General features: G+C 43.6%; 1 long non-coding RNA gene across 7 annotated transcripts in view, besides 1 other annotated feature; it reads right to left on the bottom strand.

Moving 5' to 3' along the window:
* Positions 1 to 16,315, bottom strand: part of LOC105373480 (uncharacterized) — a 39,564-nt gene that overhangs the window by 11,870 nt on the left and 11,379 nt on the right. For 4 of the 7 annotated variants that reach the window (XR_007086128.1, XR_007086122.1, XR_007086101.1 and 1 more), the window contains exon 3: positions 868 to 1,084. The exons of 1 other annotated variant lie outside the window; for it this stretch is intronic. This is a non-coding gene — a long non-coding RNA (uncharacterized LOC105373480). Of the gene's footprint in view, positions 1 to 867; positions 1,085 to 12,618; positions 13,072 to 15,696; positions 16,108 to 16,315 lie in introns of those variants that run through there. 2 more of the 7 variants (XR_922709.4, XR_922710.3) reach the window with 2 other exon arrangements.
* Positions 131 to 630: an enhancer, noted in NCBI's record as "H3K4me1 hESC enhancer chr2:766549-767048 (GRCh37/hg19 assembly coordinates)". NCBI's record gives its function as "activates a minimal SCP1, AML or CMV promoter by ChIP-STARR-seq in primed H9 embryonic stem cells {active_cell/tissue: H9 hESC(primed)}" and the evidence as "EXISTENCE:reporter gene assay evidence [ECO:0000049][PMID:30033119]".

The raw sequence follows: 16,315 nt of genomic DNA, 5'->3' as shown, positions 1-16,315 counted from the left end.
CTGTCCTGCTGCCTTAGGTCTGTGTCTTCCTTCGCAGATCCTGGGACCTTGCTATTGTTTTTCATTGTATTTTTTCTCTGTAACTTGGACCTTGCCTGCTTTTCCTACCCCACACCCAACCTCCTGCCCACTGGATCCTCTGTGGCTATGGCAAGGCTATGCGTCCTCATGGTGGACTCTCATGGACCCTGGATGGGTGTCCCACATCCCAGGACTTGGTGTCCCTTGTGGGCAAGGAGGGTCCTTGGTCCCTGGAAGGTTCTGAACCTCCCTGATCCTCAGTGCCCTGCTCTGCAAGACGCTGCCCACAGCGACCACCCACGTTCCTGTCTTGCTTGTATCCTTGGTGGTGCATTTTACAGATAACACATCTCTCTGATAAATGGTGGCACATTCTCCCCTTGAACTGGTTGAAACCCTGGCTAAGGAAATACCGACCTTACTTTTGGCTTCTCTTGCTGGCTCACCTTGGGCCCTCAGTTCCCAGTAAGGAACTTCAGTTTTCCTCTCCTGCACCTCTCAGCTGGCGTGGCCGTGATGCTACTGTCTGAGGCCTGGTCAACCTGCCCCTGGTGGGGTCTGATTGTCGCCCACCTACTCACTGGCCATCCCGAGGGCCCACTCCAACCACAGGTGCCGGGCCTCAGACCAACCCCGGTGAGAGCTCAGTCCAGCTTCCTCGCCTCCCCCAAGGCCAACACCATGGTCCTGTTGCCTGTGCTGACCTCTCCTCCGTGGCCTGCTCCAGGGACACAGACAGTGACGCATCCCCTTGAGAGAAAGCAGCTGAACCCAGACCTCCGACAGCCCCACCCCAGCCTGGAGCATTTTTCATTTCTAAACTCTGGTTTCGTGATGTTTACTCACAAGTCATGCAATCGCATGCAGCGTTTTCATTCTGTGTAGGAAGCACATCATTCATATTCTGAAGCAGATAATTGAGTCCAGTGAGCAATGGTGAGAATCAGCCTCCCGCTGCCGCCTCCTGCTTCAGACCTGCTCATGGTGGACTCCATCCACTCAACAGACATTTCCCTCTTGGTGGAAGAGGTGGCAGCTGGTCTTCATCAGCAAAACTGTTAGCCTATGGAGAGATTTTAGAGCCTGATACCAGCATTTCTGTCCTGTGGCTCTGGTGTTGGAAGCTCGGGGGATTGGCGATGAGTGCATGGGGGCTGCAGGTCTCTGACCTGGTCTGGCTTTCCCAGCACCTGACCGAGGGTGACTGTGGCATCCTGTTGCATAGGTGAGGGCACCGGGGTGCAGAGCAGTGAAACAGCAGCAGCAGCTCGCTCCGTAGAGACACAGAGAGGCCCAGGGCTCCTCCCAGGCTTTCCTCTCAGCTGCTGAGCCACTCACTGCCTTCCTCTGCCTCAGTCTCCTTGGTAGGTACAGGGCGGAGAGGAGTAAGTATCTTACTGAGAGAGAGCCAGGTAGGACACCCTGCAGAAGGAAATGAGGTGGCCTCATTGAACACTGAGCATAAACCAAGCACGTGCTCCAAATACACTAATGCAGCACCCACATGCACACACACATTCATACGTGCACGCACGTACACATGTACACACATGCACACACATGTACACTCATGTATACACATACATGCACAGCAATGCACATGTTTGCACATGTACATATCAGCACAGATGTGCACAGCCATGTACGTGTATTGAATGCACATGTACACACATTCACATAAGCGTCCACACATGAGTGTACATTGCATATATTACACATGTAAGTAAAATATCTCTGTAATCATATTTCTTTTGAGCTTAATTTTATTAGCTTAACATTTTAAATTTTATTATTGTAAAATAAAATATTGGTGTATACGATTCCTTTGTTAGAAAAACATCCAACACTTAATGTTCCAACTATGTACTGCTGTATCACAAATCTTAGCCAAAACTTAGTGGCTTCACAAAAGTCCAATCATTTATTTTGTCTGCAGATCTGAAACCCAGAGAGCTTCTGTCCGGGGTGGCTCATCGCAAGCCAGGCCTGGTCACTGGAGCTGGAGGGTGCAGGGCCAGGATGGAGGCCCTCAGGAGATGCAGGTCCGGCTGCTGTCCTGAGAGCTCAGTTTAGCTTGAAGGGCCCAGTCTTTTCCATGGGTCTCCTTGTGGCTTCCAAAAGCAAGTGTTCCAAGAGGTGGGAGAGGAAGCTATGATCTCTTAGGAGCTGAGCCTGCAAACTCAAGCCCGGCATGTCCTTCAGTCAATAACCCCAATACTCAGCAGTGACAATTTCGCAGGAGCCGGCCGAGCTCAAGGGCAGGGGACATAGACAGCATCTCTCAAGGAAAAAGCAGTGCCAGCCATCTGTGACCACTGCAGTGAACCACATTTAGAGATGTAGTGGGGCAGAAAAGCACCCTGTAGTATTTTCTAAGAGTAGGTACTTTTTTTTTCCAAATCAAGTTTTTAAAAGACCAAGTCAATATCAAGGCTAGAATCAGTGAAACATTCACGAAGGTAGGCATGTTCCAATGCTTCTTAACAAGTTCTATCTTTCTGGCCCAGAGTAGAAAGCACCAAGTCTCCCAAACATGGTACCTGCTACACTGTGTTAGAAAATGGCTCCAGGGTCTTTGGCACATGGTGGAACCAGCCCATTAGAGGACCACCTGCTGAAAACCCTGACCACACAGCAGCAAGACGGTGAAGAATATTGGCCCCCACACGTGGACAAGAGTCAGATACACTGACCGGCAAAGACTGGACAGTTAAAGGCTCTGGAATGAGACAGAGTCCAGGCCTGGCAGGATGTCCGAGGTGTGGGAGCTGCAGGCTTCTTCTGTCTCTGAAGCTTGTCCGTCTGGAGCCCCTGTCTCATTGCCAGCTTTGCCAGCAGCTGACTCTGGCTCTGTTACATTCCTCAGAACACCCAGGAGCCCTGAGTCACTTGCCTTAAAGCAAGACAGACCTGACAAATGCCATTCAGCTTCCAAGGAGCTGAAAATTGACCACAGCCTTGTTTTTTGAAGACATGGTTCTCAAACGAAGTTTCTACACAGTAAATAGAGCGCGGATTTTTGCAAGACTATTGAGTTTTCAAACATAACCTCGTGCTCATGAACTCACTCTAGTTTTATAACAGCCCAGGGAAGGAGGGACTCCAGAGTGAATGAACTGGACAGTACTGGACATTCCGATCATGCCCTGTGGGGGCCATGTCCCGCATACCCAAGGTCCTTCTGGGAAAACCCAGGGATGCGGTCTCTATGGCTGTGTCCATGTTCCTCCTACAGGTGAGTGAGTGACCCGTGCTGTCACCACTGGGGCCAAATGGTCAAAGCCATAGCCTGAGACCAATGAGACAGGCGTGGGACTGCATGTGAGGACCAGCATAATTCTCAGATTGGTTCGGAAGGCAAACTCTGGAGTTTCTGGAATTCGATTCAAACTGTGGATTTGGCACTTACTGCAGCGTTCGAAATGGCCCCTAACCACTCCATCTTCACCTTCTCTCCTGCAAGGCAGCACCAGATCCCAGGGTTACCCCTCCATCTTCACCTTCTCCCCTGCAAGGCGGCACCAGAACCCCGGGTTACCGCTCCACCTTCACCTTCTCCCCTGCAAGGCGGCACCAGAACCCAGGGCTGTCGTGACGATCCCCTGGTACAGTGCATAGAAAGTGCTTATCATCCCGGGTAGGCCAAGTAAACTCCAAAAAATGAAACTCATTCTCATCAGTTAAATGTCCAGAAATTTGGCATCTTGACAATATTGAGTCTCAGAATTGAGCCTCACTTCCTATAGTCACAGAATTGAGCCTCACTGGCCATAGTCACAGAGTATCTCTTCACTTATTTACTTACAGAAGACATTCAAGCTATAATGTTTTGTAAGAAAGCAAATAAAACACAAAGCAAAGCACTGTAATCCTAAATACACACACAGTCACACACTTGCACACGCACATTTGCACACATGCATACACATTTACACACATGCACATACAGGCAGAAGGGGAAAGAGCTCACCCCAGGTTACATCTGCACAGTGGTGTGCAGGTGGAGGGTATCTTGTATTTTCCTATGCTTTCTAACTATTACAAAATAAACCCATGTGACTTTTATCATCAGGAAAAAGAAACTTTAACAAAATGATTTCACTTTAGTGGTGTAAAAAATATGACTGTGGATTGAATAGCAATGACCCAAACATATTCTCAGATTTCAGTATGCTTCACAGAAGCCTGTTTCTCTCTTAATTCTTCCTCCTTTAAATTCCTCTGAAGTTAGAATTCTTTCATCCTTAGCCTCCACTCACTTTCATGACCTAATCATATAACATCAAAGCGCTTGTCAATTTCCTGTGACCCTCGAGCCCTCTCTTCATGAACCAGGCCCTCCATTGCCTGCTGTGCACTTGCTCCAGCTTCACTTGGAGTCACAGAGCGTGGCGAGGTCACTTCTAATTGAACCCCAGCTGCTCATTTTTTTTTTTTTGTCATTGACTTTTTTTAGTGATTCCAATTAGATTTGATGCTTATTGACAGAGTCTGCTGTATTTTTCTTATGAGGAAGAATATATGAGAAGTGGATGCTTTTGATAATTTTGATGAAATTAATGCTTAAAAACAACATGGTTATTTAGTTAGACATGGGTTACATTGCTACAGTCTCTCTGAGTTTCCCCTACACTGTCATTATTTTGCCTGCACTAGAGCTGGTAGTTAATTAATTATAAAACCATATGTATAATTTAATTAATCCTTATTGTCTAGTGGGTTTTAGTCATTGTCCCTTTGTTTTTTTCTGTCATTAGTTGGCTTAGTTGCTGAGAGATTATATGAAACCCCGCACACGGTAGGCCAGTCTTTAGCGGATAGAAAAATGAGTAAAAACATGTTGCCTCCTGTTCTCTTCTGCATACCATGGATTTCTGCTTGAATTGCAGTTATCATTTGAAGAATATAAACATCGTATTTCCAAAAGCTAGATCTCTAAAGATACTCTGATGTTAAAATCAAATAGATGCATATACATGTACATATACATGTGTATCTGTGTGCATTTCTCTATGTATGTATCAATACATATTACATATTCACCCTGCAGATGCCATCAACAATAAAAACAAAATATCTCAGTCCTAGCATTAAAAAATAGAGATTTTAAATGCACACATAAAATATTTATCTATTCTTTGAAACTGAGTACTTTTTGAAGAGATATGATAGAAGGAAAAAAAGATCCCACAACCTTTTAAAGAAAATTACTTCTTTAAGGTGCCTAGAAGAATGACAGGTCTATACTTTTACAAACAAAATTATGAAAATTGCCTCTATTTCTGAGACAGGCTAAAATTAAGATGACTTTGAAAGCACTTCAAACAGTTTTCAAAATTCTTTTAGGAGAAAGCCCTAATTACTAAAGTAAAACAGCTTTATTGGGCACTCTCATCTTAAAAGCATGCTGTTTAAAAATTAAACCTACACTGAGCTGAGGGTGTGTGACTCCTGGTCTCAGGGGTCTTGAGGCCCCAGTCCTGTGAAGACGTCCAGGGGAGTGTTCTGAGCCTGGTGTGGGTGAGCCCTGCTGACCTGGGTGGCTCCTGCGGTGGGAATGGGGTTCAGAGCTCCCCGCTCAGGTAAACAAGAACGATGCACTCTTCTCACCTCAGGGGCGTGGACACTTTCAACCCATCCATAGGGCTTTCACAAGTCATACAGAAGAGCCTGTGGACTTGTAACATTCTCCCAAGGGCTCCATGTGCAGTCAGGACATTTGGGGACTTGTGTTCAGGATTTGGAGGGGGCGTCTGCCTTCCAGGAACTTTCCAGTTTGTTTTGGTAAAAAATGACAGTGAAGAAAGAAATTAGTAGAAACCAACAGGTGCTAAGCTGTGTTTGAGGGACGTGTTCTGGTTAAGTTTAGGTGTTTTTGTTTGTTTGTTTATTTACCCATTTTCTAGATGCCACAAAGGAGAAATTCTTAGCTAGTAGAATAAAATGAGTTATAGCAATTCTATTGAACTATTGAGTTAATTAAGGGCATTTGTGTTGGGGTCGGACAGGGCAAAGAAAATGCCAGCTGTGTGGGAGGGTGAGGAAAAGCAGTGATTAATCTGGGGGTGAATTTCAGCCAATCCACCAGCTTCTGGAAATGCCCCTCCGGCTGTTTTTTTTTTTTCCAGTAAAATTGGTGCTGTTTTGCCAATGAAAAGATGGTAGCTATTCTGATAGTAAATTTAATGCCTGGAAATATTTTTTGGTACTTTGGGGTTTCAATGCAAGGTCAAATTGTTATTACATGAAATTTTAGCATTTTTGAATAGAAATTAACAAAATTTAGAGTTGTTAATTTATAGTCACAGAAATTAAAGTATGATTTTCTGCTCTTGCTCTATACCTACTACAATGAGTAACTAGACTGATTTACAAAGACACATGACCCCAGTTCACAGAGAGACCTGATTGCAAGACATCCCTGGGGCTGGGGCCTGCCCATCAGCTTCATCCTAAGAGTTTCCTGGGGGCCCTGGCTTCCCTGCAGCATCTGAAGGCACTCAGGCCCCACCTGGAAGGATGCAGAGAGCAGTCCTTCGCATTTTCAGGTGAATTTGTGCAGAGAAATAGTCTTGACCTAAGAACATGGAGCTAAAAGGCCTTTCGACAAAACACTAAACTGCTTCCTGCCCTGCAGGAATAAGCAGCACCTAGAGCTCTCTGCTGATAGCCTTTGAAAATCGGAGGGACTGAGGGAAGCTTCAGGCGGTTTCTGTTTTTGTTTTGTTTTGCTTTTCCATGGAAATTACATATATCTCAGTATTTGCCTATTAAAGATAACTTTGTTAGAAAGATGAGCTCTTGATAATATCCCACAATTGTTAGAAAATACCAATTAGTGAATAATATTCAGATGAGGAAGGAATTGTCTGAGGACACCTAAATAAAGTTTCAAAGTTTGAGGTGTTCTTGGCAGTGACACACATGAAAGCGCAGGTCCAGTGCTGTGAGCGGCTGTGTTTACCATTTCCCAATTGTGGTGGGTGTGCCCAGAATTCATTGTGGAGCGCGATCTCCAACCACAGGGAGCAGAAAAATAAAACAAAAAGAAATGCATGGAAGTAACTAGTTGGGATTTACTCAGGGGAAGGGAAAAAGCATAAAAGAGAAAAGCTAAAGCCGTATTTCCAAAAATTCAAATAATATTTTTAAAAAGAATGCAATCTCACTGGCAATAGCAGATGATAAAAAGCTACTCTTTTTACCAATAAAGTAGGCAAATATTGACCACATTATAGACACACACATATATATAATCACATAGAGACATCATTGCACACCCACAAACATACGCGGCACATGCTACCCGTGAGGCGGTGGCTTGACTGGCCTAGATAAAGGAGACTGGAATCCTCAGGAAGTATTTCTGTAGGTGCAGAAGGGGATGCAATATTGTTGGAAGGCATTGTGGCAGTTTTTCTCTCAAACATATATACATTCCATATCTACAAAATCATCCTCAGTAATATCGATATTACAGATCTGTTCATCTCAATACCATTGCTAAAATTAAAGGCAGCAAACGAAGGAAGGTTATATAAATTGCTATGTCATGCAGTTATTAAAAATTCTACTTAAAAGTGCTTATTGAAATTGATAGGTTAAAGCTATTATAAAGAAAATTATACTATTACATAGACTGTAATTATATTTTTGAACTAAATATTCATGTATGTATGTGCACAAATGAAATGACAGATATGCTAAACCAAACGTGAACAGTGATTACCACTGGGTAATGAAATTGCAGGGGAGTTTTCTCTTCTTTTCACCTGTCTATTGTAATGTTTTTAGGTGAAAATATACATGTTTTTGAGACAGGGCGTTGCTCCATGGGCCAGGCTGGAATGCAGTGGCACGACCACAGCTCACTGTGGCCTCCAACTTCCGGGAGCAATCTTACCACCTCAGCCTCCCCAGTAGCTGGAACTCAAGCACACACCACCACACCTGGCTAATTTTATTTGTATTTTTCATAGAGAAGGCGTTTCGCCATGTTGCCCAGGCTGATCTTGAACTCCTGGGTTCAAGCTATCCTCCAGCTTCAGACTCTCAAAGTGTTGGGATTATAGGCGTAAACCACTGTGCCTGCCCACTTTTTTAACATATGAAATAAAATCTATATCATAGATGTATGTGCATGTGTATATAAGAGATGTCTGTGTGTATGCGAACATGTGGAGAATAATTTCACTTCATCCAAGTGTTATCTCTTGAAAGATAAATCAAAACGAGAGATTTTGCAGAAAGACAAATGGGATGTACTTTGGAAGAAAGTGCCTTGTTTTGGAGAATATGCAATAATAATCCTCTTGCCCTCTCACTAGTCTTCAAAACTGAATTCCCCGAAGAACTGAGGCTTAGGCAGCATTTTGAGAAGAGGACAGAGCTGCTTGTTGAATGAGGGATGCAAACAGCAGGTGTGGGGACAGTGCCGCATCCATCCCTGAGGTTTCCTGCGCGTGATTCTTCACCCTTCAAACCAGCCCAAGTTCCTCTTTCCAGATGCCCCTGAGCTTCTTCCAGGCACTCAGCCCAGCGGCTCTCATGGGACCCTGTGCCCCCTGCACTGTTGACCACCAGTTTAGGACAGGAATGACCAGCTGCTTCAAGGATGGGGCGATGGCATTCAGGAAAGGAGAGATGCTCACCCATAGGCCAGTGCCTGGGAGGAGGTGCACCCCGCAGCAGGGCGGCTGTGCTACCTCGGGCGGCTGTGTCACGGCTTCCTTCCCCAACTCTCCACTCCAGTATCCTGGGGATCACTCCACAGTAGGAATCAAACAATACACTTGTTAAAGTGTTTGGAACAATTAGATACACAATGCCCAAAGGCATTGCTCAGTGAATGCTGGCTCTATCAGAACTATTATCAGCAGTAGCTGTTTCTGTGGTTGGGACTCTTTGCAAGAGCTATAAAATGCTAAACTGACAAACCACAGGGAAGCTGGGAAGTCAGGGAAATACGACAACCCCTTTAACCAGAGTATGAAATCTCAGGGAAGTCAGTGTTTTGTCTTTTTTTTTTTTTTTTTTTTGAGACGGAGCCTTGCTCTGTTGCCCAGGCTACAGTGCAATGGTGTGATCTCGGCTCACTGCAGCCTCCGCCTCCTGGGTTCAAGTGATTCTCCTGCCTCAGCCTCCCCAGTAGCTGAGATTACAGGCACCCACCACCATGCCCGGCTAATTTTTTGTATTTTTAGTAGAGACGGGGTTTTGCCATGTTGACCAGGCTGGTCTTGAACTCCTGAGCTTAGGCAATCCACCCGCCTTGGCCTCCCAAAGTGCTGGGATTACAGGCATGAGCCACCACACCTGGCCTTTTTCTTATTATTAGTAATAACCCTTAATATAAGATCTACTCTTTAGCAGATTTTAAGTATACAATATAATATTGCTAACCATATGCCCTGTGCTGTATTGTAGCTCTCTAGATATTATTTATCTTGCATAAATGAAACTTTGTACTTTTGGCTATCACATCTCCATTGCTCTGTTACCTCAGTCCCTGGAAGCCACCATTCTACTCTCTGCTTCCATGAGTTTGACTATTTTAAATTCCACATATAAGTGATATCACACAGCATTTGTCTTTCTGTGTCTGGCTGATTTCACTTTGCATCATGTTCTTCGTGTTCATCCATATTGCTGCAAATGGCATAGTTTCCTTCTTTTTTAAAGGCTGCATAGTATTCCATGATGTATGCGTACCACATTTTCTTTACCCATTCATCTGTTGATGGACACTTGGGTTGATTCCATATCTTGGCTATTGTGAATAGTGCTGAAGTAAACATAAGATTGCAGATACCTCTTTCACATACTGATTTTCTTTCCTTTGGACAAATACCCAGAGTGGGTTTGCTAAATTATATGGTAGTTTCATTTTTGTTTCTGCTAAGAAACCTGTCTGTTTTTGTTCCAGGATGATGCTGTTTTGATTACCATAGGTTTGTAATATAACTTAAAATTGGCAGGTGTGATCCCTCCAGCTTTGTTCTACTTGTTTAATTGGTCCCATATGAAATTGAGGATTTGGTTTTATTTCTGTGAAAAATGCCATTGGAGTTTTCATAGGGATCACATTGAATCTGTAGATCACTTTTGGTAGTATGGACATTTTAATTATTTAATATTAATTCTTCCAGTCCATGAGCACAGTATCTTAATACGTTCTGGCTGCTGTAACAAAATACCATAAACTGAGCAGCTTATAAACCACAGAAATGTATTTCTCACAGTTCTGGAGGCTGGGAAGTCCAAGATCAAGGTGTCAGCAGATTCATTATCTGAGGAGGGCCCACTTTCTGGTTCCTGGATAGCACTTTCTCACTGTGTTCTCACAGTGGGGAGGTGGAAGGGAACTCTCTAAGGTTTTTTAGTAGGGCACTAACCTCAACCAGGAGGACTCCTCTCTCACCACCTCATCACCTCCCAAAGGCCCCTCCCCTCCAAACACTGTGACTTTGGGGGTGAAGATTTCAACATAAATATAGGGGGCCACAAACATTCAGACCATAACTCATGGGATATCTTTCTATTTATTTGTATCTTAATTTTTTAAATCAATGTTTTATTGTTCAGTGTACTGATCTTTTACCTCCTTGGTTAAACTTATTCCTAAGTGTTTGTTGGTGCTATGTTAAATGGGCCAAGGTGGGAGTTGTTTCTTAATTTCTTTTTCAGAGAGTTTATTGTTAGTGTATAAAAATGCATTTTATTTTGTATGCTGATTTTGTAGATTGCAATTATACTGAAGTTATTATTATAAATAATTGTTTGATGGAGTCTAGGGTTTTCTATGTACTTTAGTTCTTTAATCATAGTTTCTTCTAGCTCTTTGAGCATATTTGTCATAAATTCTGTGAAGTATTCCTCTGCTAAGTACAATATGGGGGCCTTTCTCAAGGCATTTGCATAAGCTGTTGTTTTTTGTTTCTGTGTTACACTTTAATTTTTTTTAATGCCTTATACCTTTCTGCTGAAACCTGGGCATTTTGAATAACATAACAACTCTGGACACCGATCCCTCCCATCCCAGTTTGCTTACGGGACTGTCCATTTGTTCAGTGTCTTGGCTGGCCTAGTTCGGTGAAGTCTGTGTCCTCTGCTTCTCAGAGGGCAGAGCTCTGGGCATATGCACAGTCTTCTTGACCACCAGGGACCCTGTGGTTTCAGCGAGGCTGTCTCTGAAATGGTCTGTTTCCCTGATCCCTCTGCTGAGGATGTGGCTTCTCTTCCTCTGTTGGTATCACATCCAACTGTCATCCTTCACAAATTGCTTGTGGATCACCCTACTGTTTTCCACAAGATCATGGGGTATGACTTGCTCTACTCTGATCCAATTAAATCTGGGTCCCTTGGCAGGGGAAGGGTGCTGCTCATCTTTGAGGCATGAGAGACCTTACCTAGAGAGTCCTCTTCTCTAGGGACCCAGAGATGGGAGACTGGACCCCTCCTCCTCTTGATCTCTTTGGGTCCTCTCTGGGTAGCATGAACTAGAGACGGGACAGGCACCACCTTCCCAGCACTGCCAGTAGCTCCATGTGGGCCTGTGTGGAACTCTGCTGTGGAGAATAAATCTGCCCATGTTCATTGGCTGCCAAACCCACTCAGGACAGTTCTTCCCCACCAGGTGCTGAACAGGATGAGAACTGCCCATGGTCACCGGTTTCCCAGCCTGCTGGAGAGGTTCTTCCTTACTGCAGAACTGTGGATGGATGGAGGGAATTCCTACAGCAAATGCCCTGTCCTCCCACTATTCTTGCCAAGTATCTGTAGATTTTGTTTAACAAATTCTTCTCCGGTTCTGTAAGCCCTTTGATCAATCTCCAGTGATTTGGAATGATTGATTTTGCTGATTTTGATCAGCATAATAATGGATGCCTCTCTGGGAGAACAGTTTCCACAGCCTTCTTAAGCCATGCCACTCCAGAAGTCATGCCTCCAAGTTGCTTCTCTCTTAAAACCCTAGTAAGTTGAAAAATGTCTGCAGGTCTCTGCATGCTCTCTATAATGATGCCTCATGTCTTTGAACCTGCAGTTCTCTCCCCGTCAATGTCCGACTTTCATTTTTATCATCGTTCCCCTTAAAGATCTACTTAGATGTCACCTGCCTTAAAAAGACCCCTGGAGGGTTTTTAGATTATTAACATCTGAAGATTTTAGAACTGTTCTAAATGGTATAAAATATTTAAATCTTCTTGTAAAACTCTGATTGGGCGAGTTGCTTTAGTGGAATTCAGTCTAGAATGATCAGCAGTAACTAGTATTTGACTTTGAAGACGATGCTGCCTGCTTTAGCCTGGTACGTAGGCACTGGTGATGATGCTGCCTGCTTTAGCCTGGCATGCAGGCACTGGTACTGGTTTTTAGGCACTCTGAGTAGACAGAAAATGTCATAGTAGTTTCTATTTTAATTCAAGGAGGAAAATGCAGGATATCAATGCTGCTACATAGACACTGACTTTTCTAAAAATATGCCACATTTGTCATTATAGTATCTAAGTTTTATGGAACATACATCTGGACATTATATATACTTCTAGATTTTACCATTGAATCCTTAACATTGTGCTTAAATATTATTATAGCCCATTTATTTTTTTTCACCTTTTTTTTTTCTAACCTTTGATTTTTTTTTATTATACTTTAAGTTTTAGGGTACATGTGCACATTGTGCAGGTTAGTTACATATGTATACATGTGCCATGCTGGTGCACTGCACCCACTAACTCGTCATCTAGCATTAGGTATATCTCCCAGTGCTATCCCTTCCCCTTCCCCCCACCCCACCACAGTCCCCAGAGTGTGATATTCCCCTTCCTGTGTCCATGTGATCTCATTGTTCAATTCCCATATAGCCCATTTATATAGAGAGAAGCTGCAGTTTAAAAATGGATGTTCAAAGTCTCTCAGGTGCACAGAGCTAACAAGAGCAAAGTCCAGATTTTAAAAACTTCTTAAGTCACACCAAATACCACAGCTCCTTATTTGGATTTTACTATTGCGTTTACTTCCAGGAGATGAATTTCTATTCCCAGGAAATATCTGCGTAAATAATATAGAAATATATAAGTATTTAGAATGTCAGAAAAACAAATAAGAGATTCATAAGTTTTATATGGAAAACAAGCAGATATAAACAAAATAGGGTTTTAAAGTACTAAGCCATGAACATGCTAAACTTAAATTCATATTTTGTAATAGGATGCATTAGTTGAGCAACACTTAATATAAAATCCCTGAAAGATAAGATAGCAAGCAATGAGACTGTGGTTTTCACTTTAGATTTCAAAACTATTAGGAAAAATTAATTTCTGTCATGCTTAGATACAATATTCTCACATTTTAAATATGAAAATAAAAATAGTGCAGGAAAGTCCATTTTCTTCTATGGATCCAGTGGTCACATTTCTTTAGAAGAGCAAGCAAATATCATGACTACTGGGAATTGCCTGCATTATATTCATAACCAGGTACAAGACAGTTTATTTCCTAAGTAGTTAAGTGCAATGAATTCATCTTAAGTCCTTAAAACTTCCCATGTGAACTCTGCACAAAAGCACTTCCGTGAAGACGTTCTCAATATTTGGAGGAAGAATTCGTAAAGAGTTAATGCTTGAATTAATTCAATTGGTCATTAATTTCCTATGCAGCTAATTGCTATTGATGACATTAAATGCCAACCTCATCATTGCTTTGTCTTGAACAAGGGCAATGACATCAGATTACCCCTGGCTACAGCTGGCCTCACTGGCAGCACCCGTGGGACCAAGCGGATACGTGTGGAGCCTGTGCACCCCTCTCCAGCCGCCTCCTGCAGGTGCATCCCGCGCTTCCTTCAGAACTCAGGTGGTGTTCACTTAGCCTTCCGTCAGCTCCTTTTGGATGGACAGGGTGGACTTCCTCTTTCTCCCTCTTCACCTTGTATCCACTTTCAATGAAATGTCCATAGCAGATTATGTGTCTAAACATTTGTTTTCCACATTTGATGGTGCACTTCTTAAATGTGGGTATTAAGTTTCTCCTAGCATTTGGTATGATGGCCAGACTCTAGTATTGCTGAAAAGATGTCTGAGCAATAGATGCTCATGGAAGGGAGAGTGTCATCGAGGCAGATGCCCTAAGAATGTCTTTATGGAGAAGGGAAGTACTAACCTGGCCCGAGGTGATGAGTAGTAGCAAAGAAGGCTAAAAACGGAAGGGAGAGAAGCCCAACACAGGAACCTGTTTCCTGAATATTGGAACGGCCAGAGCAGGACACCTCTTCCTGACCAAACAGAACAGAGGCTTCTACCTGGAGAACATGGATGTCTTCCAAAAGATCTGGGGATGCCCACCTTTAGGGTGATTTAATAAGAAATTAAGGGCAGACAAAATTCTCTGGCATTTTCTTCATCATGATGACTCTGAGGTGTGTCCCACCCCGCGGTGGGTCAGAGCGGGCGTGTGCTTGTCACGTGCTCACCCGTGTCTCCAGCGCCCAGAAGTGCAGGTTGCATGTGCTACACTCAGTAAACACTGGCCAGTTTCACAGATAAACTCAGGAAGACACGAAGAGTCACATTATTTTCTCTGGAACAAGTAAGTCTGAAGCCCAGTTCCCATCACAGGGAGATTTTCTCCCAGTCACCACTGGAACTCACTCAGCCTCTACCCAGGGTTACCCAGGGTCGGCGTGGATCATGACACCTTCAGGAGGGAGACATAGGGTGTGGATCGCCATGTAGGAATTTCACGTACTGGGATAGAGGAGCAGGAAAAAACATTCTATCTTAAAACTGGAGTTTGCAGCCTCTGGGGGACGGCTGACGTGGAACCGTGATGGTGCTACCGGCATCTGCTATGTTACCCTCGTGCCTGCTGTTGTGTGTCAGGTTTTATATGTTAATAAATTGTTAGGATTATAAAAACATAATATGCCATAAAATGGCAACAATATGAATAGGAGAAAGTAGATTTTTCATCAGAAGACCCAGATTCAATCTAAATTGTCTTCCTTAGGAGTCGAGTGTGACTGGGCGACTCGCTACTTCCAACCTCCATTTTTGCACGTTCTCACCATCCCATAATATTATGAGAATTAAATAATAGAATATATATGAAATATCTAATGGAATATTTGGAAGCAAATATTTGCTCAATGATATTTTGAATAAATAAATTAATGGATAATAAACATACAATCATAACACCATAAACAAAACCTACAGAACAAAAGCATTTCTATCCCAGATATTAAAAGTCCCTGTTGTAGATGAGGACAGGTAAGTGGCCTAAGGTCATTCCCAGGCTGGGTCCAAATAGAACAGTGTTCACGCCACGCAGACACCAGCAGGCGTCCCCTGAGAGGTCCCTGCAGGCACCTCAACACCTGCAGATGCCTCACCCTTCACCTGTGGCCCCAGAACGCTGTGGAAAAATGACTTGACAGAAGCACAGGGACAAACATGGGGTTTCAAGGCCATCGGAAGCCCAGAGCAGCAGCTAGACCCGAGGAACTCGGCCATGGTGGCTTTTGAGTGAGGAAAGAGGAGTGGCTGAGATTTGACTGGGGTCATTGTTCAGCGGTCATGTGGGCTTAAGGGGTGAGTACAGGGAGGGATAGTTGCGTTTACGCATAAATCAAAGTGGAGAGTGGTCTGGCCCCTTCAAATGTGCACACACACAGCATTCAGCATTTGCATTTTTAATTCCTGTTTCCTATGTTGCTTCCCTTGGAAATGATTTTTAGTTAATACTTAAAACAGACACTGCCCAGGTACAAGCAGCTTAGTCAATGCTCCATGTCTGAGGGAGGATGGTTTTTGCCTGCCCTCCAAGAGTTTCCCAGAATATCCAGTGTTTCTTGAGTGCGATAAGTGGAGCCCAAGTGGAAAAATCTTTCCCATGAGGAAGCGATGGGTCGGCAGCTCCACGCGAGACTCACACCATTGCTGAGTTTCCACACATTGACTCCACCACGCCATGTTCCGTGGTCATCAGAGCAGGTGTCTGTCCTGCGGCCCCACTTTGCACTCCCCTCACTAGAACCTTCGTATAGTAAAGGCTTCAACTTCACTGAAGGTCTTCTGTGTTTACCATCTCATGATTAATTACCAAGGGAGAATAAGAGGTGGATTTGTCAGCTGGAATTTTACTCAGGCCTTTAATTTTGAAAATTAAAAGTTTTCAAATGATTTAGAACATGTTGAGGAAAAAAGCCATGTCTGTTTGCAGATATTTTTGTGTGTTGCTCATGCCTTTCTACCAAAAGTACAAGCCTTTTCAGGGTCTGTGAGCCCGCCAACCA

This window comes from Homo sapiens, chromosome 2, assembly GCF_000001405.40.
Source record: "Homo sapiens chromosome 2, GRCh38.p14 Primary Assembly".
NCBI classification, from domain to species: Eukaryota; Metazoa; Chordata; class Mammalia; order Primates; family Hominidae; genus Homo; species Homo sapiens.
Note: the sequence above shows the minus strand (reverse complement) of the source record. Positions and strands in the feature narration are given on the sequence as shown.